At 44.4% G+C, this 24,930-nt stretch overlaps 1 protein-coding gene and 1 non-coding gene across 26 annotated transcripts in view, besides 5 other annotated features; one reads left to right on the top strand and one right to left on the bottom strand.

Moving 5' to 3' along the window:
- The window catches only part of TBC1D31 (TBC1 domain family member 31), a 92,467-nt gene that overhangs the window by 906 nt on the left and 66,631 nt on the right, over window positions 1-24,930 (bottom strand). For 11 of the 25 annotated variants that reach the window (NM_145647.4, NM_001363150.1, XM_005251104.2 and 8 more), the window contains 5 exons: window positions 23,367-23,507; window positions 21,812-22,006; window positions 19,413-19,551; window positions 14,140-14,232; window positions 12,115-12,462 (listed from right to left, as the gene is read on the bottom strand). In NM_145647.4, the coding sequence (NP_663622.2) occupies window positions 12,329-12,462; window positions 14,140-14,232; window positions 19,413-19,551; window positions 21,812-22,006; window positions 23,367-23,507 (702 nt within the window). In that variant the 3' untranslated portion in view covers window positions 12,115-12,328. Of the gene's footprint in view, window positions 1-12,114; window positions 12,463-14,139; window positions 14,233-19,412; window positions 19,552-21,811; window positions 22,007-22,956; window positions 23,152-23,366; window positions 23,508-24,930 lie in introns of those variants that run through there. The other 14 variants (NM_001363148.1, NM_001145088.2, NM_001363153.1 and 11 more) reach the window with 4 other exon arrangements.
- Window positions 3,550-3,779: a silencer, noted in NCBI's record as "silent region_19494". NCBI's record gives its function as "represses an Ori minimal core promoter by ATAC-STARR-seq in GM12878 lymphoblastoid cells {active_cell/tissue: GM12878}" and the evidence as "EXISTENCE:reporter gene assay evidence [ECO:0000049][PMID:35858748]".
- TRM-CAT1-1 (tRNA-Met (anticodon CAT) 1-1) lies at window positions 6,966-7,038 on the top strand. Its single transcript has one exon. It is a non-coding gene; the product is annotated as a tRNA-Met (tRNA).
- Window positions 7,105-7,414: an enhancer, noted in NCBI's record as "active region_27869". NCBI's record gives its function as "activates an Ori minimal core promoter by ATAC-STARR-seq in GM12878 lymphoblastoid cells {active_cell/tissue: GM12878}" and the evidence as "EXISTENCE:reporter gene assay evidence [ECO:0000049][PMID:35858748]".
- Window positions 9,030-9,079: an enhancer, noted in NCBI's record as "active region_27868". NCBI's record gives its function as "activates an Ori minimal core promoter by ATAC-STARR-seq in GM12878 lymphoblastoid cells {active_cell/tissue: GM12878}" and the evidence as "EXISTENCE:reporter gene assay evidence [ECO:0000049][PMID:35858748]".
- Window positions 9,200-9,249: an enhancer, noted in NCBI's record as "active region_27867". NCBI's record gives its function as "activates an Ori minimal core promoter by ATAC-STARR-seq in GM12878 lymphoblastoid cells {active_cell/tissue: GM12878}" and the evidence as "EXISTENCE:reporter gene assay evidence [ECO:0000049][PMID:35858748]".
- Window positions 14,444-15,643: an enhancer, noted in NCBI's record as "BRD4-independent group 4 enhancer chr8:124160865-124162064 (GRCh37/hg19 assembly coordinates)". NCBI's record gives its function as "activates an origin of replication core promoter dependent on BRD2, P300/CBP, MED14 and CDK7 cofactors, and independent of BRD4, by STARR-seq in HCT116 cells {active_cell/tissue: HCT116}" and the evidence as "EXISTENCE:reporter gene assay evidence [ECO:0000049][PMID:35650434]".

Here is a 24,930-nt window from a genome sequence, read left to right as displayed (position 1 = left end):
CTTGGCATGGCTTTGTCCCTTGGGCTGTTGTGACTCTTTCAGAAGAATATACCTTAGTGAATGGCTGGTCCAAGGAGAATGCGAAGACTTGAAGAGCAGACTGAACCCAGGCTCAGCCTGGAGCTGAACCCAGCTGATACACAGATTCATGAGCAAGAAAAAGACGTGCTTACCTGAAGCTGAGTGAAACAAGTCAGACACAAAAAGACAAATATGGCAAGCTCCTACTTATATAAAATATCTAGAATACATACATAGAGATGGAAAATAGATTAGAGGTTACCAGGCACTAAGGGAGGAGGAATGAGGAATTATTGCTTAATGAGCACAGAGTTTCTGTCTGGGGTGATGAAAAAGTTTTGGAGCTAGAAAGTAGCAATGGTTTCACAATGCTATGAATGTACTTAGTGTCACTGAATTATAAACTTTAAAAATGGTTAAAATGGTGAAGGATAAAAGACTACACTTTGGGTACACTCCTTCGGGTGACGGATGCACCAAAATCTCAGAAATCACCACTAAAGAACTTATCCATGTAACCAAAAACCACCTGTACCCCCCAAAGGTATTGAAATAAAAAATTTTTAAAAATGGTTAAAATGGGCTGGGTGCAGTAGCTCACACCTGTAATCCCAGCACTTTGGGAGGCTGAGGTGGGCAAATGGCTTGAGATTAGGAGTTCAAGATCAGCCTAAGCAACATGGCAAAAAATCTGTCTCTGCAAAAAATACAAAAATTAACCGGGTGTGGTGGCACGCCCATGTGGTCCCAGCTACTTGGGAGGCTGAGGTGGGAGGATCACTAAGGCTGGGGAGGTGGAGGTTGCAGTGAGCTGTGATCACACCACTGCACTCCAGCCTGGGTGACAGAGCAAGACTCTATCTCAAAAAAAAAAAAAAAAAAGGTTAAAGTGATAAAGTTTGTGTTACATATATTTACCACAATTTAAAAAAAATAGGATAACCAAACTCATTTACTTGTACACTTAAAATAGGTGAATTATATGGTATGTGAATTATATGTCAGTAAAGCTGTTTAAAAAATAAAAGGCCAGGTGCGGTGACTCATGCCTGTAATCCCAGCACTCTGGGAGGCCGAGTATATATAAAACTGAGTATATGACATTTAAAAATATACCCAATGGGCCGGGCGCAGTGGCTCACACCTGTAGTCCCAACACTTTGGGAGGCTGAGGTGGGCAGATCACGAGATCAGGAGTTCGAGAGCCGCCTAACATGGTGAAACCCTGTTTCTACTAAAAATACAAAAATTAGCTGAGTGTGGTGGCGCGCCTGTAATCCCAGCTACTCAGGAGGCTGAGGCAGGAGAATCGCTTGAATCTGGGAGGCGGAAGTTGCAGTGAGCTGAAATTGCACCACTGCACTCCAACCTGGGCAACAGAGTGAGACGCCATCTAAAAAAAAAGAAAAGAAAAAGGAAAACACATGCTTGCTGTTTAAGCCATTACGTTTTGGGTGGTTTGTTAAGCGGCATTAGCACAGTAAGAGCTGACTAATACAGCATGGCTGTATGCGTATATTTTATAATTAGTACATATTATTCGTGCAATTGAAAATAAGCAAAACCAGAATTTATTGCATTCATCCAAACAGGCCCCTCTTTCCTGCTTTCCTCCCCGGCGGTGGCACTGGAATGTTTCTGGACATTGCTCATCCCTGTTTGGAGTGACTTGGCTTCTCTTGACAGCCAGACCCAAGTCCTGTGTCTGTGGAATGTGCCTCCACATGGCTCCCTCCTTTAGCTCTCTGTAACCACCTGCCAGGATGTGTTTTCATCACCTGGGCCTGGATGGTTGCCTGGGTGTGCTGGGGGTCTCCCTGCCTGGGTCCATTTGCCGCAAGGGAAAAGGAATCACTCTCAACAGGTTTCCATTAAGTTACCCTGCTCAGTCAGCCAGGAGCCCGCCTCCCAGAACACACACACATACACACACACACACACAGATACACTTTCCACTCTGTAAAATGGGCTTCTAATAAACTCTATTTTTTGTTGCTCAGAGGCATGCTAGGTGATCAATGAACGCATTCAAACATAAAATATGTACTGTAGGGGGATAGTATTCTGTGGGGGGAAGTAGAATGGAAATGAGTTCAAGGAGGCAGTTAAATGTAAACTTTCCAAATGTTGGGAGACATATTTATATATATTCAAAATAGATTTTGGTTTGTATGGAATCCATAGCATATATAGATGTCATTGGGTACTTTTTTTTTTTTTTTTTTTTTTGAGTCGGACTCTCACGCTGTTATCCAGGCTGGAGTGCAGTGGCACGATCTCGGCTCACTGCAACCTCCGCCTCTCGGGTTCAAGCCATTCTCCTGCCTTAGCCTCCCGAGTAGCTGGGATCACAGGCGCCCACCACCACGCCCGGCTAATTTTTTGTATTTTTAGTAGAGACGGGGTTTCACCATGTTGGCCAGGCTGGTCTCAAACTTCTGACCTCAGGTGATCCGCCCGCCTCGGCCTCCCAAAGCGTTGGGATTACAGGTGTGAGCCAATGCACCGGGCCCATTGGGTATATTTTTAAATGTCATATACTCAATTTTATATTTTAAAAAAATCACCATTTACATACACTGGTAATTACGTCTTTTGCAATTGTTTATAATGAAACTGTTTTGATATCAACTTAACATTATGAGAGGAGATGCCCAGAAGTTTTTCAACATTATTTTAGGGAATGCAAGTGAGGAAAAGGATTTGGAAACTGCTGAGAAGGGGGGCGGTGATCGTTTGAACTTGGTCAGGTCGCCTGACCTTGAGTTTGAGTTTCGCTTTCGTAAGTGAGGGGCAATTGAAGCACTGAGCCCTTCGGGTTGCTCTAGGAGTGGAAGTAAATCAGCCACCGCCGGCAAGGCGCTTAGCTGGGAGGAAGGAGCGCGTTCAGCCTGGGGAGGAGGGTGGGAGAAGGAGGCAGATGAAGGCAATGGGGATCAGGTTTTCGCGGGGGTAGGTGACCTCCGACCCGGCTGACGTAGGGCAAGGAAGACATCCCCGTCTCTACAGAGGGGCCTGAGGGCAGGACACATCAGGCCTAGAGCTGCCGGTGCAAAGGCCTGGGGGCCGGAAGGTCTTGGTCGGGGAGCCCCGGCGCAGGCGCAGGCTGAGGCCCTCGGGTCCCCAGCGGGTCCTCGCCATCAGTCACTCTCTACGGGCCAGGCCTGGGGGTCACGGCCTGCAGGAGCCTCCCTGCGCGGCCCCACTCCCTCATCTGCGACCCCGTGGGGAGGCGACCCTGACCACCCTCGTTCCGGACTCCAGCAGGGCGCCTGCAGCCAGCGGTCCCCTCCCGAGTCTCCGCTCCTGCCGGGATTCTGCAGGAGCGGGACCTCATCGCCGCAGCTGGGAAGCCGTTCGAGTTTCATTCCACTCGAAGGCTCAGAAGGTCTTGGAAAATTGGGGACATACATCTTTAAAAGCTGGAGACACTTTACGGAGCGAAATATCTGCACCGCCCCCACCCCCAACTCCTGTTCTACCTCCCTTCCCTGGGCAGGTCTGGGTGATGGGGCCACCTTGGCGTGGGGATCGGGCCTGGTACCCTGTACCGGCTAGTGGCGCGGTGTGTCCCTAGGCTAATTTGGAAAAAGCCGAAACCTGCGGGGCAGCGGCGGCAACCCCTGGGCACAGCGTCCCCTGGCGGCCGCCGGGCTCAGCCAGGTCTGGGAGCCGGGAGGTCGCCGGGAGAGTGGGCCCAAGGCAGGATCAGCCCAGCCCCTCCAGGTAGCCTCCTCCTCCTCCTGCTCCTCCTGCTCCCCTGCCCCCTTTCTCTCTCTCTTTCTCCTTCTCCTCCCCAACTTCCCTTCTTCCTCTCCCTCCCCTCCTCTCCTCCCTTTTCTTCTAATTCCTACAGTTCGCCTTTTAAATTAAGGTACGTCAACATTTAAATAGCTTATAGATTAACATAGTTCAAGTATGTTTTTAAAAAACCTGTTCAAAGGTATACAGTGAAAAGTCTTCATCCCAGAAAAACTGTCAGCCAAATGTTAAAATTGAGGGGCATTCTACAAAATACCCGACTAGTACTCCTCAGAACTGTCAAAGTCATCAAAACCCAGGAAGAATCTGAGAAATTGTCACAGCCAAGAAGAGCCTAAGGAGACAGGACCATTAAATGTAATGTGTCATGGATGAGGTCCTGGAGCAGAAAAACGGACACCTGGTGAAAACTAAGGAAATCTGAGTCAAGATGGACTTTAGTTAAAGCATCAACACCAGTTCATTACTTGTAACAAACAACCCATACCAACGACCAATGCTAATAATATGTGAACCTGGGTGCAGGCTTTATGGAGACTCTTATTATCTTTGCAATTTTTCTGTGACGCTAAAACTGTTTAGAAAATAAAGTGTATTTTTTTTAAAAAGAGTCTTCCTCTCACCCCTACCTCCAACCATACAGTTGCCACCCCTCAGCGTATTAATCATTGATCTTAGCTTTTTTTTTTTTTGAGACGGAGTTTCGCTCTTGTTGCCCAGGCTGGAGTGCAGTGACGCGATCTCGGCTCACCGCAACCTCCGCCTCCCGGGTTCAAGCGATTCTCCTGCTTCAGCCTCCTGAGTAGCTGGGATTACAGGCATGCGCCACCACACCCGGCTAATTTTGTATTTTTAGTAGAGATGGGGTTTCTTCCATGTTAGTCAGGCTGGTCTCGAACTCTCGACCTCAGGTGGTCCTCCCGCCTAGGCCTCCCAAAATGCTGGGATTACAGACGTGAGCCACCGCGTCCGGCAATCTTAGCTTTCTGTGTGCAAATACTAGCAAATATAAACATCTACCCCTTTCTACAGAAATAGTCTCATACTCTTGTTAGTTCTGCAGTTGTGTTCTTCGCTCATTTCATGTCACAACATACAGCATCCCTTTTTCTTGTTTACAGCCTGGACAGACCATTATGCCTGTGACCAGTCAGTTCCCTGTTGTACACTTGGGTTGTTTCCTTTTCGTTTTTTCTTTTTCTTTTTTTTTTTTTTTCCTGTTCAAATACGACTTCAGGGAATAACTGTGGAAGTGGTGAGTTAATATGTTGGGTAGCTTGCCAGTCCTGGGACTGCTACACCCGAAAGTGGGGCTGTTTGTAATTGTGGTAGACAGGACCGTTGGGATTTAATCTGCATGTTAATCAGCATCTCCTCGGGCCTGCAGATCTGGGAGAAACAGCTGGATCTAGGTGACACTCCCAGTCCGCAGTCCGCAGGGGATGCCCCAGCAACCTTACCAGGGAGTAAGCCCCCTGGGTCGGATTCCCGCCGGTGCGTGTGGATGCGCGCTTCCCGAGGCTGGCAGAGGTCCTGGGCTTCCCACCCTAGACCGTGGGATCCAGGAGCTTCCCGAGGACTGGGTGTCAGTCTCCGGGTCTGGGGTCCCGGCAGCCTGCCCCACCTCCAACTCCTCCTTCCTCGCCCCTCGGCCACCCGCCCGGCAGCTCCCAGTCCTTCTCCCACTGGGAGGTGGAGCAGGCCCCACCCCCATCCACTCCGAGATTCCTCTTCGCCTATCCTCAGCAATTGTGGTGCCTGCTGTCAAGATGGTATGTCCCTACCTGCTTGTACTCATACTGCCTTTTGCCCCCTTAACACCCCGCCGTATCTCTCAAATTCTAGGTGATTAACAAAATTCCACCCCCAATATTTTCTAAGGAAAAACTTCAGACAAACAGAAAAGTTGACAGAGTTGTGCCGTGAATATCCGCACACCCACCTAGGTCCACACGAACCTCTCCCCACTCCCTGTCCTTCCGTCGGTCTGTCCATCACTCGTCCTTTCCCTGGGAGGCACCCAGACCCGCGGGCGTCCACACACTCTCCCCAGGGGTCCCCACGCCTGGCCTTGCCCAGAGTTCTGTCTCAATTTCCTTTTATAAATGTACCGTATAAACGCCGTATAAATGTACATACGGCGAAAAGTACAAATCCTCAATGTGCCACTGTCTGGCTGATTTTAGACAGTAAGTGGAAGAGTCTTTTTTTTTATTATAATAGTTATGTATGTATTTATCTGAACATGTGTTAGGGAAAAACCCTTACCTGTTTTCCATTTATGATAGGGGCACGCAGTTTCCTTTAGCAATAATGTAGGTAAATGAGCTTATATAAAGGGCTGGGAGGAAGGGGAGGGGAGTGAAAGGGAAAGGAGAGCGGGCTTCCCAGTTAACACATTAACTCACCGCTTCCACGGTTATTCCTGAAGTCCTGTTTGAACAGCAAAAAAAAAAAAAAAAAAAAGGAAGAAAAAATCAGAAGCAGCTCAAGTGTGCAACAGGGCACTGGCCACAGGAATGGTGGTGAAAAAGACTGCAGTCCTGCAGTCTTGCAGTCAGAAAGTCTTGCAGTCAGTCCTGCAGTCAGAAAAAGACTGCAGGACTGCGTCCCGGAGCCCGGCAGCCCCTACGAAGCGCAGCCTCAGCCGAGGAGCTGCAGGCGGCCGTGGAAACCTGGGGCGCCGGGAGGAGTCCGGGGACTGGCGGGATCTGGGGTCTGCAGTGGGGGCCGTAACAGCGGGTGTGTGTGTGTGTGTGTGTGTGCGCGCGCGCGCCCGTGTGTGTTTTCCAATCGTTATGCATCTTCGCCCAACTCCTTGACCCTGGGTTTGTTCCTGTGAACGCAGCACCCAGCACAGGGCCGGGAACACAGTGGGTGCCTGATAAGTGTTTCATGCGTTCACGAGTGTGCAAACGGTTTGTACGCACTACACAAAAATAACGGTTCACAACAATAGGAGGAAAAATCCCCCTTCTCCGTGTCGTCGCTACCCAGTGAGGCATTGACAAGCCAGCCACAGTGTTTGTTAATTGACAAACGGGACAGGGGCAGGACGCAGCGGAACTAGAATTCCGAGTATTCTGGACGGGATTTACAGCAGCAGTAAAAGTAAAAGTGGGCATGCGCAGCAGACCAGCTGTATAGCCTCAGAATGATCCGTCCGGAAACCCTTACTAGGTGCCTCGTTAGCGCAGTAGGTAGCGCGTCAGTCTCATAATCTGAAGGTCGTGAGTTCGATCCTCACACGGGGCACAATAATTTTGTTTGCTGTCCGTACAACCCCGCCGGAAAGAAGCGTTGTTTGCTTGTCAAAGTCCGGGGGTGACAACAAGGGGAAAAGACATATCTGCGACGAGTGTCCTGGGACCAGGTGAACCTGATAAGTACCCCCGCCAAGACCACCCTCGCACTGCGGCCCGAGTGTCCAGGAAAGAGCACGTGTAAGGGCCTGGAGCAGTCCCCGACTGCTCGACCTGCCCTCGCCCTTGCCCTTGCCCTTGCCCTTGGGCACTGGCCGTCGCGGGGGGGAGGAGGGGGTGTCGCGCACAGCTCTGGGTTAGGGTAGGAGTCCGGGTGGTCACAGTCCAGGACGGCGCTGCGAGCGCGGCCGAGTTCAAGGCCGTCTAATGGAGGCAACAGAGGAGTGGCTGGGAACACGGTGTGGGCCGGCGAGGGAGCTGCGGGATGGGTAGGCAGCATTGATGAGAGAGGCCAGCGGTGGGCACTGAACCTATCCGGAAATGCAGGTCATGATAGGGTCTGGGAGAGGGGTGTCAGGGAGCTCATGCAGGCAGCTGCGGTATACCATATGCCGGAAGCTGTGTCATGACTGCATCTGAAACAGACGCTGCTACTGCGGTCCTCACCTGCTACGTTCTTGATAACTCAGCCATTCTCAAAGATCCATCTCCCTTCTGCCCAGGTCAAACAGCGAATTAAATTATGATGGAATAGCTATAACCAGCCCTTCATCTTTCAACTCTTTGCTGGTGGCATGAGTCTCTTCAATTTCCCTGGGGTATTTTTTTTTTTTTTTTTTTTGAGACAGGGTCTCACTCTGTTGCCCAGGCTGGACTGTAGCGGCATGGTCTTGGCTCACTGCAACCTCCGCCTCCCAGGTTCAACCAATTGTCCCGCCTCAACCTCCCGAGTAGCTGGGACTACAGGCACGTACCACTACACTCGGCTAATTTTTGTATTTTTAGTAGAGACGGAGTTTCACTACGTTGACCAGGCTGGTCTCGAACTCCTGACCTCAGGTGATCCGCCCACCTCGGCCTCCCAAAGTGCTGGGATTACAGGTGTGAGCCACCACGCCCGGCCCCTGGGGATAATTGCGATAACTTTTTACTAACCAGGTTTACTATCCTGGTAAGGAGGAAATTCCAGGGGCTTTCACTTGAATCTTTCTAGGATAATAGCTCTTACTCAATGGGTCTTAGTGCCAACGAGGAGAGTCTGCCATTTTTCATGTATGTTTATTTCAATGATATATTCAGGTACTCAGAAAATAACCACGGGTTGGTTTCATGGCCCTATTCACCCTCTGTAATTCAAACTTTGCTCAAGACTCCTTTGATCAACTGACCACCATTAGCTGTGACTTTCACTGGTAGGCCATAGTAATTAGTGTCAATTCAGAAACCATGTTTAGTAATCCCTGTGAGATATGGGTGTTTTCTTTTCCCTAGTATGCAATCCTTCAAGTAAATGGCAAGAGGTTTCTTTGGGGAAGGGTTAAAGAATACTCGTAAGCATGTATATGTGGCACTGCTTCAGGGTCCTTCCTCAGGGGGACCTGGCCTCCCCTTCAATCAAGAGGCTTTGGATCTGAGAATTATTTTCATACTGGAAACTGGGTGACAGGTATGACTCTCCATGGTGATGACTCGAGTCAGTTTTTCGGCTACCAGGTCTGGAGTTTTTCCTGTTACATATCTCAAGCAACATTTTAGTAGGCTGCCTATCTATTTCATTCTTAGGGACAGTGTAGTCAATTACCAGTAGCCCCAAATCCTTTACTACTACTACCGCCCTGCTGCCCTTTACTGTAAATGGTTGTCTGGTAATTAAATGCTTCTGCCTGGCCTCTGCTGCCCCAGAATTCCATTATTCCCACTGAAACCAGGGAACACATCTGTGGTGGTGGCATCTCTCACCATCATGTCTTGTTGCATGAGTCACCACAGAGTTTTTCAGGTTTGGGGGTGCTCCTTGTTCAGTGCCTTCATAAAGGAAGTAGCTTTTGGGCCCAGAGCATGGCATTGGGAGGTGAGTGAGGAGGCCAGATGTGATCAATCCACCCCTACATTCCTACCTCCCTGAGCCTTTGGATACCTGCATCCACATCATGCCAGGGAAATTCTGGCATCTGTCTCATTAGATAGAGGCCAACATTGAGTCCACATTCCTGTCAACCAACCAAGTAAACTGTGGAGCCACTTTCAATGGTATAAGCGTGGCAGTTATCAATCATCTCAGGTCTGCAGTGATGGGCTGGGCTCTTGAGGTATTTCTCCTTACAATGCGCATGATGCTGAGCTGTCAATAGAGGGTGCTGGAAGGACACTGCAGGAGAAACAAGGCTTCTCTTCCTTGCTCCAATGTGCTGTTTGGCTTACTCTTGCTCTTGCTTCACGGCCCACCAGTGGTGCGTGTGCATGGGGGACATCTAGTCGTGCTCTGCCCCAACCATGTGCCTAGTGTGCACAATTGCCTTATGACTTCACAGTCCTAGCCCAATGACCATGTCACTATAGTCTTCCCAGCATGGACACTGGCATGTTCCGGGTCTCATGCCAGCAGTACCACCCTGATGCACTCTGAGCACCTGCCTGCTGGCCTGTTTGCCTGTGCCTGAGGGTGGTTTCTTGTGGCTCTCTGGATATGGCCAGCCTGCACACTACCCTGACAAGCGGGGTCCTTATGCCCTGCCTCCCTGTGCATTTTTACCAGCCTTGGATTTTCTGTGCCCAGATTTGTTTCCTGCTGCCTGGGGACATGGACTACCCCTGGCCTGGCCAACTCTGAGACCCTCCCCAGTATCCAGTGGTCTGCAACCACACCTTCTTTGACCAGGTCTGACCTAAGCCTGGGGGAGGGAGGAGCCTCCCTTCCAAGTCTGTCCTTCCTTGAGTACTCTCCTCAGTCCTACATACCCTGTAGAGTTCTCTTTACGTCTTCATAGTTGCTCCCATCATAGTTTAGTCTTTACATTAAACTTTCCTTATCCAAACAACTGTGTAGTTTGCTTCCTGACTGGACCCAGACTGATACAATGAGATTAAACATTAAATCCAGACTCTCAGATAAGCACACCCATATTAATAAATTAAGCCTTATGCAGTCCTTGCAGTCAACTGCTGTTAACGACCCACATGCAATGACTGTGGAAAGACCTTTACAAATGCCGAAATCTTGCTCAACCTGGGAGAATTCATACTAGAGAAAAACTCTATGAATGTAAATAAATTTGAAAAGGCCCCTAACCAACTTAATAACTTATTTAGCACCACTGAATTCATATTGGAAAATAACTTTCCAAATGTAGCCCAATGTGGAGAGTGATTTAGCTGAAGCCCAACATTTAGCCAACATTGCAGAATTCACACCAGAGAGAAACTTTATGGATGTAATAAATATGAAAAGGCCTATAGGGACCGCTCTTCTTTAACAAACTCAAGGGAGTAATGGAGAGAAACTTTTTGAATGTAGCAAGGAATTTTAGCCAAGTTCAGCCCCTATTCAATTCCAGAGAATTCACATTATAAAGAAATTGAAGATTGAAGATATAATGTCAAGAAGCAGGAAGAAATAATCAGAAATGTCTTTCACATATTTCATTAAATGTGATAACCTTTGCAATGTCAACCAAGCACATATGACTGAGGGGATTCAACCAAGTATCTGAAACGTGCTAAGGCAGTGATTGCATCAAGATTACTGGAGAAACGTAGGCTCAGAGACAACTGGAAGCATGTGATAAAAAGAACTTCATTTGGGTGAGAGCATTCATAGTGCACTTTCACTGAATGAACAGGAACTTTTTTCAAAAATTAACTACTGCAGTTCTATATATAAAAAAGAGGGTTTTGTATGCGTATGTGGCGTGTGTAGCTGCAAAAGAGACCTGACTAGGTATAAATCCTAGTCAAAGAGGACCTGAAATAGAGGTAAAAAACTGCAATAGACAGCTGTTTCTGGGTGGCAGAACCACAGAATTTTAGAATTTCAATGCTTTCCGGTGAGCAGGCAATTCTAGTCTACCAAAGTTCCCATCACACTCTACATATTCTATATCCTGGGATTCCTGTTGTCAAAAAACACACACCAGCTTGGCCCATGCAGGCATATGTTTGCAGTCACCTAAAAACGTATGGAAAACTAGGCTGAGAAAAATACTCTTGGGAAACCAATGCCGTGTATAATGCCAGGAGATCATTTTAGAACTTTGCTTATTGGGCAAGAGAGCACTTTGCTGAAAATATTTGATAAACCATAAGATTATGCTTCGTGGCCCCAGAAAAAATAATTAGTACTACATATTATATACTTACTATGTGTCAAGCACTGGGCCAGGAACTTTTTAGGCCTGATCTTTGTTTTTGTTTTGAGATGGAGTCTCACTCTGTTGCCCAGGCTGGAGTGCGGTGGCGTGATCTCGGCTCACTGCAACCTCCGCCTCCTGGGTTCAAGTGATTCCCCTCCCCCTGCCTTCCAAGTAGCTGGGATTACAGGCATGTGCCACCACACTCGGCTAATTTTTCTATTTTTAGTAGAGAAAGGGTTTCACCATGTTGGCCAGGCTGGTCTCGAACTCCTGACCTCAAGTGATCCACCCACCGCAGCCTCCCAAAGTGCTGGGATTACAGGTGTGAGCCACCACGTCTGGCCTGCCTGATCTTACTGAATCGTCATATCAAGTATTTCTACCCTCCTTTTAGAGAGTAAGGTTCAGGAAGTCACAAGCAGCCCCACTCTGGAGCTAGGAAGTGGAGGGAGGGAGGAAGAGCAGTCGGTGCTGCCAGAAGAAGCAGGCAGAGGGCAGAAGGAGCTGGGCAGAGATGAGATGTTACAAGTCCGGTGGGGTCCCTGACAAAGAGGGGGTCCCGCTGGCAGAGGCGGGGGTGGGCAGGAAGATGGTGATATAGGCCACTCCACGCTGCTGGCGCTCTCCACCTGCTGCTGAGTTCTCCCTCAGTCCAGGCTATAGAGCTGTTGAGATGGTTTCCTGTTCTTTATTTCTCTATTCATCTTTAAGATAAACCTTTATCAACTAAAGTTACTGAGGTTTATGCTGGTCCCTGCAACCTGAAAGCTTAACACAGCTTTAACAGTTTCTAAAACATTTTTATTGTAAAAAGTTCAAGAAGCCATTTACAAGCCAAAAAGTATCAGAATTAAATAACACATAATTTTTATAGACACATTTTTCTGTACAAAGGGCTGATCTTTATAGGAATTTTAAATAAATAATCTAAAAATCAATGTCACTGATTGCAAAATAGGTCTCTCTCTCGACCGTCTCAAGGTGACATGCATTCTATGCAGCCAAAAGATGAGGGGTTTGACATCTGTGACGAGCCCGGGCAGTGAGTCTCTGGCGAAGATTTCTCACTTTCTTAATAAGATTCTGTCCCGTGGTGTCCCATTCTACTGCTCTTCTATTTAAAGAAACTTGAAAACGAAATTTAAAATTTAGAAAAGCTGAGTTTTCTGATGTTAGCGGTGATACAGCATTTATTTTAAAGATAAATGTGTTGTAAAAACAAATAATGAAATGCAATTCTAAAACCTAAATTTTACATATAACCTGGCCCTAGGTGGTTCCATTTACAAGCCAAATAATTATTTGTTGGACTGAATGAATGCTAACAGAGAACTTCTCTGCTTTGAAATACTTGGGATACAAACAATCTTAAGTTAGAAACAAAGCTTGTTAATTTAAGAGAGAATTTGAGTTTGTGCAACTGTAAGCTTCCTCACAATGATGCTTAATAGTAATGAGAAAAGGCATTCCAAGTCATAAAACTGTGAAATATACACCATGATTACCTTTCCAATAAATAAATAAAAATAAGTAAATCAAATGCTTTTTAATATTGGCTAATATCAGGAAGGTCCAGAATCAAGATTAAAATACTACAACATGTCCAAGTGTAAGAGCGTTACTGATTTAGAGGGGCTAGTGAACACTGAAATTTTTTTTAAAAGCCCTTAAAAATATACTTCTCTGAAATTTAGTTACATATTCAAATAGTCAGTCAGCTTCAATTTCTGAAAAACTGTTTTTCCTCCCAAAGAAATACAACTTTCATGCTTTTGTATTTTGCTGCCAAATAACCATTTGATATGTCAGAATAGAGAGTAGCTGAGAATCTCTCATACTTCATCTGACTCTTGAATGATTTTTGGTTTAATTCATATTCTGGCACAGAATTTATAGATGCATATAAAAATGTGAGTTAGCAAAAATATTTTACACAATACTGGAATCTCATGACTTGGTATTAGGCATATTTCTTATAAAGCTCGTCTTTTTGGGACATTGTATAAAAGTTTGTTCTTCCAAAAGAAGTCAAAAGATCTTGTTAAATACTGCTTCATCTATATGGCAATTTTATTGAAAAAAAATAGTTGAAAGTAAGTTTAACAGAGTGTCTTTTCTCCTCCTCCCTTTTAAAAATAAATAATATACTTTACTGGGAAGATTGTTAGCTTCTTTATGGATGGCCTAATGCTGTGATTACATTTCTGTAAGATGTTTCTACCCTGTCCCTTCTAAAAAACCCCAAACCCTCCAATGAACCACGTCCAGGGATCAAAAGTCAGCTCATCAGCATGAAGCCATTTGCCTTTGGCCATTCTACTGCTGCTGGGGCCCAGAATTCCATCGGAGTGCCCAGGGCAGACACATGTTTTCAATGGTTGTTGGAGGGAGCCCAGCCCAAATGAACAGAGTCAAGAAAATTCAACTATGCAATAGCTTTGAAAAACAACGCTGAGATTTTTTTTCACAAGGATGTCAAAATAGTTATGAATTTCATATTATCAACCTAGTTAGAGACTTCTGTTAGAACCTCCAACTATGTTTTTGGGCAGCAGTGCTGGTGCTCAAGAACTGGAGTGGCTTTAGTGGATTCAGCACATTTTCTTTACTTGGAATTTGGTCTGCACCCAGTTCTCCCACTGAGGAATCTGAGAGAATCTTGCTGCCTCCCTTTTAGGATTTCCATTATCAGTGCCCTGGGAAAATGGCGTCCACATGCTATAAATATAATTTAAGCCACAATTTTGCTTAAATATTGTGAAATTTAAAATGGCAGAATAACATTTTCTTGCTTATCAACTTACTCTGTGTTGAGGGATCCATTTCAGAAGAGTCATTTAATTGTGAGGTTCTAGGCAAACAGCTTGAGTCCTGTTCATTTTGGAACCTGGGTTCTTCTGTTATAAAAGTGAGGAGATTAAGATGATGTTTGGGAGTGAGTAGAAAGGCTTACTAATTCCAAATGGTCCCTAGTAAGTTACAATCACCAAGGATGGCTAAAAACTCCTTTCTTTTCTATTTTAAGAAGAATGCGGTCAACATTCAAAAGGCAAGGAAGTGTCATTAGTGAGAATTAAGAGCTGAGCTGATTTCTGTAAAACGTACTTTAAAAACACTTTCAGCTAAAACAAAAAGCCAACAAACTCAAAAATATGGATATTAAGATAGAGATTACGAAATGTGATCAGCAAGGCTTCCCTGGAAACTATTATGAGCTGATCACTACTGGTTTTAGCTAGGCAGGGCCTCATCACAACATACAGCAAATCAGAGCCAGCCATAGGCAAGTTTTACCCGAACCCTTCTTAGAGTAGCAGGCAGGGCAGTGCCCTAGCAACTAGTGGTGCCTCCCCTACTTTTATCAATTACTCTCCTCATCTCAAAACTTACACTCACCCTCAGCTGTGTTTTCACTGTTCCCTAACTCCTACAGCAGCACATCCAGTATGACACCAAGGTGTTTTTAAAAACATTTGCATCCTGACATGGCTTATAATGGTCCCTTCCTTTCTACTCCCACCGCTAGCATCTAAGCTCCATGTGTCGAGCCCAGAATGCTGGGAGTCTCATTAAATCGGTAAGATGTCTGCCTTTTACCTCTCTGAAAAGCTTTAGCTAATGGTTTTACCTCATAGTTTTAGCTCAATGAGTCATTAAAGTAATGTGACTAATCACCAATGACTAATTTGAACTGGTGGGGGACTGGAATCTAAGAGTCATCTTCAAACATCTGAAGGGCGGGACATGGCGGAGGTAGTAAACGTAATCTGCAATCTGCACTGTTCCAGAGAACGGTTTCTGCGGACAGAACTCAGCGGAAAAAGAAAAACAGAAAAGAAAAAGCAGATTGAACTATTTTACTAAGAAATAACACTTTTTTTTTTTTAGACGGAATCTTGCTCTGTCACCCCAGGCTGGAGTGCAGTGGCGTGATCTCGGCTTACTGCAACCTCCACCTCCTGGGTTCAAGCGATTCTCCTGCCTCAGTCTCTGGAGTAGCTGGGATTACAGGTTCACGCCACCATGCCCGGCTATTTTTAGTAGAGACGAGGTTTCACCATGTTGGCCAGGTTGGTCATGTTGGCCATGTCGGCCAGGTCGAACTCCTGACCTCAGGTGTATGAGGGGTTTTAAAAGTAGGCATGATTTGGCCTCCCAAAGTGCTGGGATTAGAGGCGTAAACCACTGCGCCTGGCCAGAAATAACTCCAAAATAAAATACTTGTAGCAAATGGAATAAGGTCACGAGCTTCCCAGTCTACCAGCATTCTGGCACAAGCACGCTGGCCACTGCTACATTTGCTGCACAGACAAGACGCGAATCAGGTGTGGTTCCTCAGATCTTTTTGTTTCTTTATTTTTTAGAGGCAGTCTCACTATGTTGCCCAGGCTGGTCTTGAACTCCTGGGCTCAAGCCATCCTCCCGCCTCAGTCTCCCAAATTGCTAGGATTACAGGCGCCACCGTGCCCAGCCAGAGCTGAGATCTCACAGCTCCCTCTCATCTGTCCTCCAAAATTCAACCTGCCCACTCCTGTTCAATTCATCTTCCCAAAGGGCTGTGTTGTAAATATTATCTCTGTTCAAACAACTAATGATTACCTTTTGTCTCCAGCAATGTTTCAAACACTGGCTGGGGATATTCACTCGTGAAACTTTAAAACAAAAATCTAGCTCCCTAGTTTCTACCCTAGAGCTACTGACGGAATTATTACTATTATTAGATCTACTGAATTAAATCACTATTGGTGAGGTCTTGAACATGTGTATTTTTTGAACACATATAGGTTTGTATTTTTTTTTTTTTTTGAGATGGAGTCTCGCTCTGTCGCCCAGGCTGGAGTGCAGTGGTGCGATCTTGGCTTACTGCAACCTCTGCCTCCTGGGTTCAAGCGATTCTCCTGCCTCAGCCTCCTGAGTAGCTGCGATTACAGGTGTGTACCACCACGCCTGGCTAATTTTTGTATTTTTAGTAGAGACGGGGGTTTCACCATATTGGCCAGGCTGGTCTCAAACTCCTGACCTTGTGATCTGCCCACCTTGGCCTCCCAAAGTGCTGGGATTACAGGAGTGAGCCACCGCGCCGGGCTCAAAAATGTCATTTTCTTAATGGTAGGTGATTATCTCCTGCTTTTAGGATTAAATGAATCTGATTAAATCTATATACCCTGATTAAGAACATGACTGACACATCATTCAGTCATAAACTTAAGACTTTTGAAAACTGGATGTTTATTAATCAAATTATCTCTATTGGTGAAATTCAGCAAGGTTAAAAAACATACATGGCTGACTGGTCTGCCAAAAAAAATTTAGCACGAAGGGAAGACATCATGGAGGCAGAGGGGCAAAGGTGTAGGAAAACTACCGATGACGAAAGCTTTTCACAGTTTCTTACCTTTCTCTATTTCTACGTAGATAGCTCTCTAAAGATTTTCTATTTTTCTTTCTAAAACAAGGGTAAGGCTGGGTGCGGTGGATCACGCCTGTAATCCCAGCACTTTGGGAGGGCCACGCAGGAGGATCACAAGGGTCAAGAGATTGAGACCACCCTGCCCAACATGGTGAAACCCCGTCTCTACTAAAAATACAAAAATTAGCTGGGCGTGGTGGTGGGCGCCTGTTGTCCCAGCTACTTGGGAGGCTGAGGCAGGAGAATTGCTTGAACCCAGGAGGTGGAGGTTGCAGTGAGCCGAGATTGTGCCACTGCACTCCAGCCTGGCGACAAAGCGAGACTCCGTCTCAAAAAAGCAAACAACCAAAAAAAAAAACAAGGGTAAGTGTGAGAGGGTGAGGGAGAAGTGACAGCTCCCATGATTAGTATCTTTTGTAAGCCAGTTTTAAATATTTAATTCGTGCAGAGTCACATTCTACTCCTCTCCACCTCCCTGAAGTACTCTTGGTGCTATTTGGGACCACTAAATCTCAAGTATGAGCGGTAATGAGTGGTTTTAAGAGTCGGCATGATTTGGCCGGGTGAGGTATAATCCCAGCACTTTGGGAGGTCAAAGTGGCCAGATCACTCGAGGCCAGGAGTTCGAGACAAGCCTGGGCAACATGGCGAAACCCCATCTCTACTAAAGATTAGCTGGGCATGGTGGCATGCGCCTGTAGTCCCAGCGACTCAGGAAGCTGAGGCAGGAGAATTTCTTGAATGCAGGAGGCAGAGGTTGCAGTAAGCCAAGATCGTGCCACTGCACTCCAACCTGGGCAACAGAGTGAAGTTCTGTCTTTAAAAAAAAAAAAAGGTAGGCATAATTAAATGACCTAACCTATATTTTCACTCTTCAAATTTGTGAAATGTAAAAGTAATGCACATAGCATATTCATGAAGCCAAAAATTGGAAAGAATCCAGATGTCCATCGACTGATGAATAGATTAAAAAAATACATAATATCCACACAATGGAATATTATTCAGCAATAAAAAGGAATGAAGTACTGGTACATGCTACAACATGGTTGAATCTCAAGACATTATGCCAAGTACAAGAAACCAGACACAGAAGACCATATATTACATGATTATATTTACATGAAACTTCCTGAATAGGTGAGTGGACACAAGGTAGTTAGTAGCTGCCAGGGGCTTGGGGGAGTGAGTGGAAATGGGGAGTGACTGCTAATGGGTACTGGGTTTATTTTGAAGTGCTGAAAAATGCTCTAAACTTGCTTGTGGTGATGGCTGCATGACTATGTAAGTGTATTTTTTAGTACATGATAATATAATGACATTGAATAATACACTTTAAATAGGTGAATTAGGCTGCGTGCGGTGCTGGGCACGCCTGTAATCCCAGCACTTTGGGAGGCCGAGGCGGGTGGATCACCTGAGGTGAGGAGTTCGAGACCAGCATGGCCAACATGGCGAAAACCCATCTCTACTAAAATAAAACAATTAGCCAGGCATGGTGGTGTAGGCCTGTAATCCCAGCTACTCAGGAGGCTAAGGCAGGAGAATCACTTGAACCTGGGTGGTGGAGGTTGCAGTGAGCTGAGATCGCACCACTGCACTCCAGCCTGGGAGACAAGAGCGAAACTCTGTCTCAAAAAAAAAAAAAAAAGAAAAAGAGAAAGAAAAAAGGTGAATTATAGGGCATGTGAATTATGTATCAACAAAGCTATTATTTTAAAAAGCAATGTATACACATTATAAAAGACTGAAACAAAATAAAACACAGTAAAATAAAAGCTCCTTGTTAACTGTACTCTATAATTTTTGGAAATCTTTTTTTTTTTTTTTAAAGAGACAGGGTCTTCTCTGTTGCCCAGGCTAGAGTTCAGTGGTGTGATAATAGCTCACTGCAGCCTCAAACTCCTGGGCTCAAAGAGATCCTCTCGCCTCAGCCTCCAGGGTATTTTACAGTTTTAAATTATAATTTTGATTTTTCAGTTGATGCCACTGTAAGCCTTGTATCGAAACCTAATGTTGGATCAAATCCTATGAGAAGTTTCCATGTGATACTTGAATATACTGTTGTTCTGAGGACCAGCTTTTGGCAAAGTACATATTTTACCTTGGAGCAACAGAATCAAACAGAACTCCACAGGACAGTCTGCACAAACTTTTTCCTCGACTGGGACTCTGTTTCTGTAATAGTCCCACCTCAGCCCACCCTTTCCCACCAAAAATATGGTAACCAGTGATTACCTTTTACTTGAGCAGTAGATTGAATAGAAGTGCCAAAATACATCCCAATAATTTATTCACTGGCCAGGCACAGTGGCTCACGCCTATAATCCCAGCACTTTGAGAGGCAAGGCGGGAGGATGGTTTGAACCCAGCAGTTTGAGACCAGCTTGGGCAACATAGTGAGATCTCATCTCTACAAATAATTTAACAAATTAGCTAGGTGTGGGGATACACGCCTATGGTCCCAGCTACTTGGGAGGCTGAGATGGGAGAACTGCTTGAGCTCAGGAGGTCGAGGCTGCACTGAGCCATGATTGCATCACTACACTCCAGCTTGGGTGACAGAACAAGACCCTATCTCAAAAAAAAAAAAAAATCATAATAATAGACCCTACTAAAAGAATAAATCTGTAACATCATGGAGAGAAAGGCCTCTCAGACACTCACCTTTATGACATGGATTTTCAGCATGTTCTACAGCCGCATTTATCTCTTGCTTTAAAAACCACTTTCTAGACGCATCTGAAAGAGCAGAAGCTTTCTTTGCTGATCTCAAACGGAACTCTTTTCCTTCAGCTTCCTTCCACTAAATTCAAATAAATGGAAAAAAAGATTACATAAAAAGTATAGTAATACACATTTCACAGTGGAATGAGCCACTTCTGTCTTCTCTATCCACTTTCCTTTATATTCCCATGGCAAGTAGGATCTGTTTGGTGTTATGGTAACTGGGGTGCCTGTGTTGGCCCAAGGCTATTAAGAGCCTTGAAAGCAGAGGCAGGTTTTATCCAACCCCCAGTATTGCAGAGTGCCACAAAGCACACAACTATATCCCAATAATTGCTGAAATAATAATGCATTTCAATAAGTTTCAAATCTCAAATCTTATGAGACTAAGCTAGTTTTGAATTAGTGGCAATTGCATTTTATTTAATTTGAATGCTCTATCTTAATAATAAAATCTACAAAATTCAGAGAATGAACTCTTTGCCCAGCTCTGGTCCACATGATGACCACAGGGAAGTCAAGTGATTTCTATTCACCCTTATTTTCTTCTCCATAAAATGAGAAAATAATAATCTTAAAATTAGCTCAGAAGGTAACTAAAATAAATTTAAAATCCAACTCCTAAAGTTTGCCGAAATTCTGGAAAAGCTACAGCTTTTACATGGAAACACATAATTTTTATGCTATAGAAATAATAATGCATTAAATAACAAAAACTTTTTTAAAAAATCACAAAATAGGGTAAGGAAGGATCACAGAAATCCATCCCTTTCATGTTACTGATGAGGGGGCTGATTCTGAGCAATTTCCCAAGGCCACGCAGTAGTCAAGTCAGCTTTACAACGCAAGACACTAGACACAAGGAAGGATTTCTGCAGAACGTGAAGGGCCCCTACAATGATTCTCAGCCAATTCTCAAAAGTACCATTTTACCCAAAGTCCAGCAGCAGTGAATTTCACACAGTATAGCCCTAGTGTCAGCAATGTTTAGGATGAGAATGTGAGCTTCCACCCCTGTTTTCCTGAGAACAGCCTCAGGGTTCTGGATATTACCCCCACCCTCTCCAAGCCCTTCTTTCCTGTCCTAGAATGGAAGGGTTATAAGATAAGGCTCCATGCCACTGGGATGGGGTAGGAGGAAAATGAATCTGGAATAGTGACTTGAAGGAAATACACTGTAAGAAGCCAGCTTTCAGAATAGACATTGTGATACAGCAACAGAGAGAAGCAATTAAGCCAGGTATCTACATCTTGATCTTTCCCCAGCTCCTCAGGGTCCTTAGGAAAGTCTATGGTACCTGCGATAATATCTCCAGAGCACAGATCCCAGAGTCTTTGCGAGGATCAACCAAAAGATACACACGTGTGACATATACTATTAATTACCTCCTCGGACTCCATTCTTTGATTCTTCTTTAGCAGTAGAATCTTTTGTTTTTATTTTTAGCTATCTTATTAACTGATAGGAACAGAATCTTAATTTTATTTGGGATGATAATGCTCCCTGTGAAGAATACTATTTTTCTCAGCATCCTTTGCTGACAAATGTGGCTTGAAATATGATATGGAACTCCTGGAAAGAAGTTAGAAGGGAGTGTGACTCAGATGGGAGGCAGAACATTCGCACTTGTGCTCTCCCTTCTCCCCGCTGCCTGGAATGTGTATGTGATGGCTGGAACTCCAGGAGTCATCTTGGATGGTAAGGTAACCTTGAAAATGAAAGCCATACACTAAGAAGAGGTGCAGAAAGGCTGAAAGATGGCATTTCCCTGATAACCTTGGAGCCACAATACTAACCCTAGACTCCCTACCTCCAGACTATATTTCTATCCTGTTCATAGTCACTGTAATTTGGGGTTTTGTTACTAGCAGCTACGTACCATTTCTACCTATTCAGCATCTTTTACATTGTAAGTATAAAGAATTAGCTAAATTAAAGTACTAATATTATTCAATCAGCCAGAACAAAAATCCAGGAAGTTGAGAAATTGAAGCACACTAATGTAAATGAGAAAGACGCTTAGTCATTTTTAGGTAGAATCAATATTAGACGACGTCTCTGACAAACACCTATTAAAATCAGATTATCTTTTCCAGCAAAAACGACTTGGTATGATGCTTTTGTCATTTGACTCTGTACTATTTCAAAATTTCAGTGCTTAGGCTGGATAAAGGGGCTGACGTCTGTAATCCCAGCACTTTGGGAGGCTGATGCAGGCAGATTGCTTAAGGCCCCGAGTTTGAATTTCGAGGCTGTACAACAAAGTGAGACTCTGTCTTTTAAAAAAAAAAAAAAAATCAATGCTTGATATTAAAAAGTTTATAACACTATTTTTTACCTTCTTGGCTTCCTCCTCCACCATTGCATTTATTATCTCTATTTCTTTCCTTCTGTTTTCCCTAAGGAGTTTGGCTACTTCCTGGTAACATTTGTTTCGTTGTAGATCATCACATTTTTGTTTATGTAAAGACTGAATCTGCCAGTCGGTATTTAGGCATGCTTGTTCAGCCTTTGCCAAATTTTCTTTAATCACCTAGGAAAAAGTTATACATTTCAGAAACAAGGTCAAACTACTAGTACATAAAATGAAGGTATAACCATTCAATGTATCCAAGTGTCTGGGGCAGTTGTTCACAACTCTGGCTGCATATTAGAATCACCTGGGAGTGTTTAAAATAAGCTGATGACTGGGCCCTGCCACAAGCCAATTAAACCAATCACTGGACAGCGGGGTACCAGCACCTTTAAAAAGCTCTTCAGGTAGAAATTAGCTGGGCGTGGCAGCGCGCGCCTGTAGTCACAGCTACTCAGGAGGCTGAGGCAGGATAATTGCTTGAACCCAGGAGGTGGAGGTTGCAGTGAGCTGAGATTGTGCCACTGCACTCCAGCCTGGGTAACAGAGTAAGACTCCATCTCTACAAAAAAAAAAAAAAAAAAAAAAAAAAAAAAAGAGCTCTTCAAGTGACTCTAATTTACAGCCAAGGTTAAGAACTTATCGGCTAGGGTATGGGTGGGATTCAACAATTTCCATGTTTTCAGCACTCTGAAGAGGAGACTCTGAAGAAGAGCCCATTTTAACAGACTGGACACAAGCCTATTAAAAAAAAATGGAATATCTTGAGGAAATCACCTAAGAGACTGTTGTACAACAGAAGGTATCTACGGTACACTATTCCTGGTTTTTGGAATAGGAGCAGACCGGTACACATACCCATTTAACATTTTGTTAAAGAGATAATAGAGAAAGCTCTTCTTTGAAAGTCTCAAGTTCTATTTCAATTCACTTAAGTCAGCATTTCTGAAAGTGTACTCCGTAAGAAATTCTCTGAAATACATCTTGGAAATTCTCTTAAATCCTCAAATTTGGCGTGAAAAATACCTCACTTTAAGACAGCATTTCCAATACTTATTTGACCATCCCCCATCTTATTGAATAATAGTTAATAGTCCACACAATACACTTGGAAGTGCTGGCTTACATACCATGCAGGGACCTGATGCTTTGAACCTAATCAACACAGGGACAATTTCAGAGGCAGAACACAGAAGGACAGTAAAATTTGTAAAGTCACTATTCCTTTGCATTTTCTTTTAAGTCACTATTCCTTCGTATTTTCTTCTAAGTCACTACTCCTTTGTATTTTCTTGTAAGTCACTATTCCTTTGTATTTCCTCAAACTGTAGGAAAAAGACATGCATATCATGTGATTGTCAGTGAAGTAAGCATCCCATATATAAAAGGAAGCAATGTGAGATTCTAGGAACTGTGACAACTGAAGCAAAGAAACAAACTAACTCAACTTCACAGAGTTTAATTTCGATTTTGTTCTCTTAAGAGGGTGACAGATGAAAATTTCTCCTCTGCATGTATACTAAATGGATCATATTTTTACCTTCTGAGTTTTCTGGCTCTGGGTTTCACCTGCTTCTATCAGCTTATGAAACATGTGTTCTTCAAGATCCACTTTTCGTCTATAGGCATCTGCATCTGCTCGCATTTCTTTTGCAAGAGCTTCTTGATTTTCAGTAAGATTCTGTTAAAATCATTTGTAAAAAAAAATCACTAATTTATATAACGCTAGAATACAAAAATGACTTTTTTCAGAATAGTAATATGCACACAAATAAAAGCTGTAATCATCTAATTTTCAAAGTAAAATTCAACGACTGGAGACATCAGCAAAAATGGCAGAGTAAGGACCCCTGGAAATCCTCTCATCCATAAAAGCATTGAGAACACTGATAAAAAAAAATGTCAAAATGAACTTCTTCAGCATTCTGGAAATTAACCAAAGGCTTGGAGCTATCTGGGGAGCATTTACTTATAAAAATGGCTGAATCTTGGTAAGAACAGCTAGCTCTCTGACATTTCATCTTGCATTTTTCCTGTTCCCACCCCACTCCCAAGCTATGCATTAGTCTTTTTATTTTTTGAGACAGAGTCTCACTGTGTCACCCAGGCTGGAGTGCAGTGGCACAATCTCAGCTCACTGCAACCTCCACCTCCCGGGTTCAAGTGATTCTCCTGCCTCAGCCTCCCAAGTAGCTGGGATTACAGGTGCATGCCACCACACCTGGTTAACTTTTTTGTATTTTTAGTAGAGACAGGGTTTCACCATGTTGGCTAGGCTGGTCTTGAACTCCTGACCTCATGTGATCGGCCTGCCTCGGCCTCCCAAAATGCTAGGATTACAGGTGTGAGCCACCATGTCCAGCCTATACATTAGTCTTGAAAACCAGCAGCCTGGAAGCCAAGGAAGGAAGCCAAGCAAAAGGGGGTTGGACGGAGATCCTTCAAACCACCATTGCTGGAGAACTGTCACTGTTTGACCTGTCTGGTGGTCCCTGAAAGACCACTCCTAAGGCTGTCTTTTTTGATCTCACTCAGAGCTCACCTAGTGCAGAATAGCCTTATCCCTGGGGAAGTTGCTGAAAACAATTAGAGCAAACTGTTGAGTATCTTGGCTACTTGGGGCAGTAGATCTTAGAAGAGCAACCAATAGGCTAAGTAAAAAGCTTAACAGGAAAAACTGGAGAATCAGATGTCCACAGGAGGCTTAAAAAAGCTGATAGGTTCCTGGAAGGTCATGTGCATGTGTAAGGCTGTGTATATGCTACGGGCTGTGTTCTCAGACCACAGAAAGACCTAAGATCTCACACTTCTGGTCAACTCTGAGGTTTTGCATAACCAGGAAGCGGAATCTAGAAAGTATAAACTGCCTAGCTGAGTGATAAAGGCGTGCCCTAACATGCACACAGAGCCCCTCAACAACTACTAGAAGCTTACTGGTTCAAAGAATATATTAAAATCTCTGTTCAATCATTTGCTGACCCCCAAACTACCTGAGTAGAGACATCAGTGGTTATATACAACAAAGAATAGGGACTTTCAAAATTAGTTCAGAAAAGTCACTAAGCAAAGAAACAAGAAGAAACCCTGGGGAGGGGAGACAATCT

Source organism: Homo sapiens, chromosome 8 (assembly GCF_000001405.40).
Source record: "Homo sapiens chromosome 8, GRCh38.p14 Primary Assembly".
Lineage (NCBI taxonomy): Eukaryota > Metazoa > Chordata > Mammalia > Primates > Hominidae > Homo > Homo sapiens.
The sequence above is the reverse complement of the archived record's forward strand: the minus strand, read 5'-3'. Positions and strand labels throughout refer to the sequence as shown.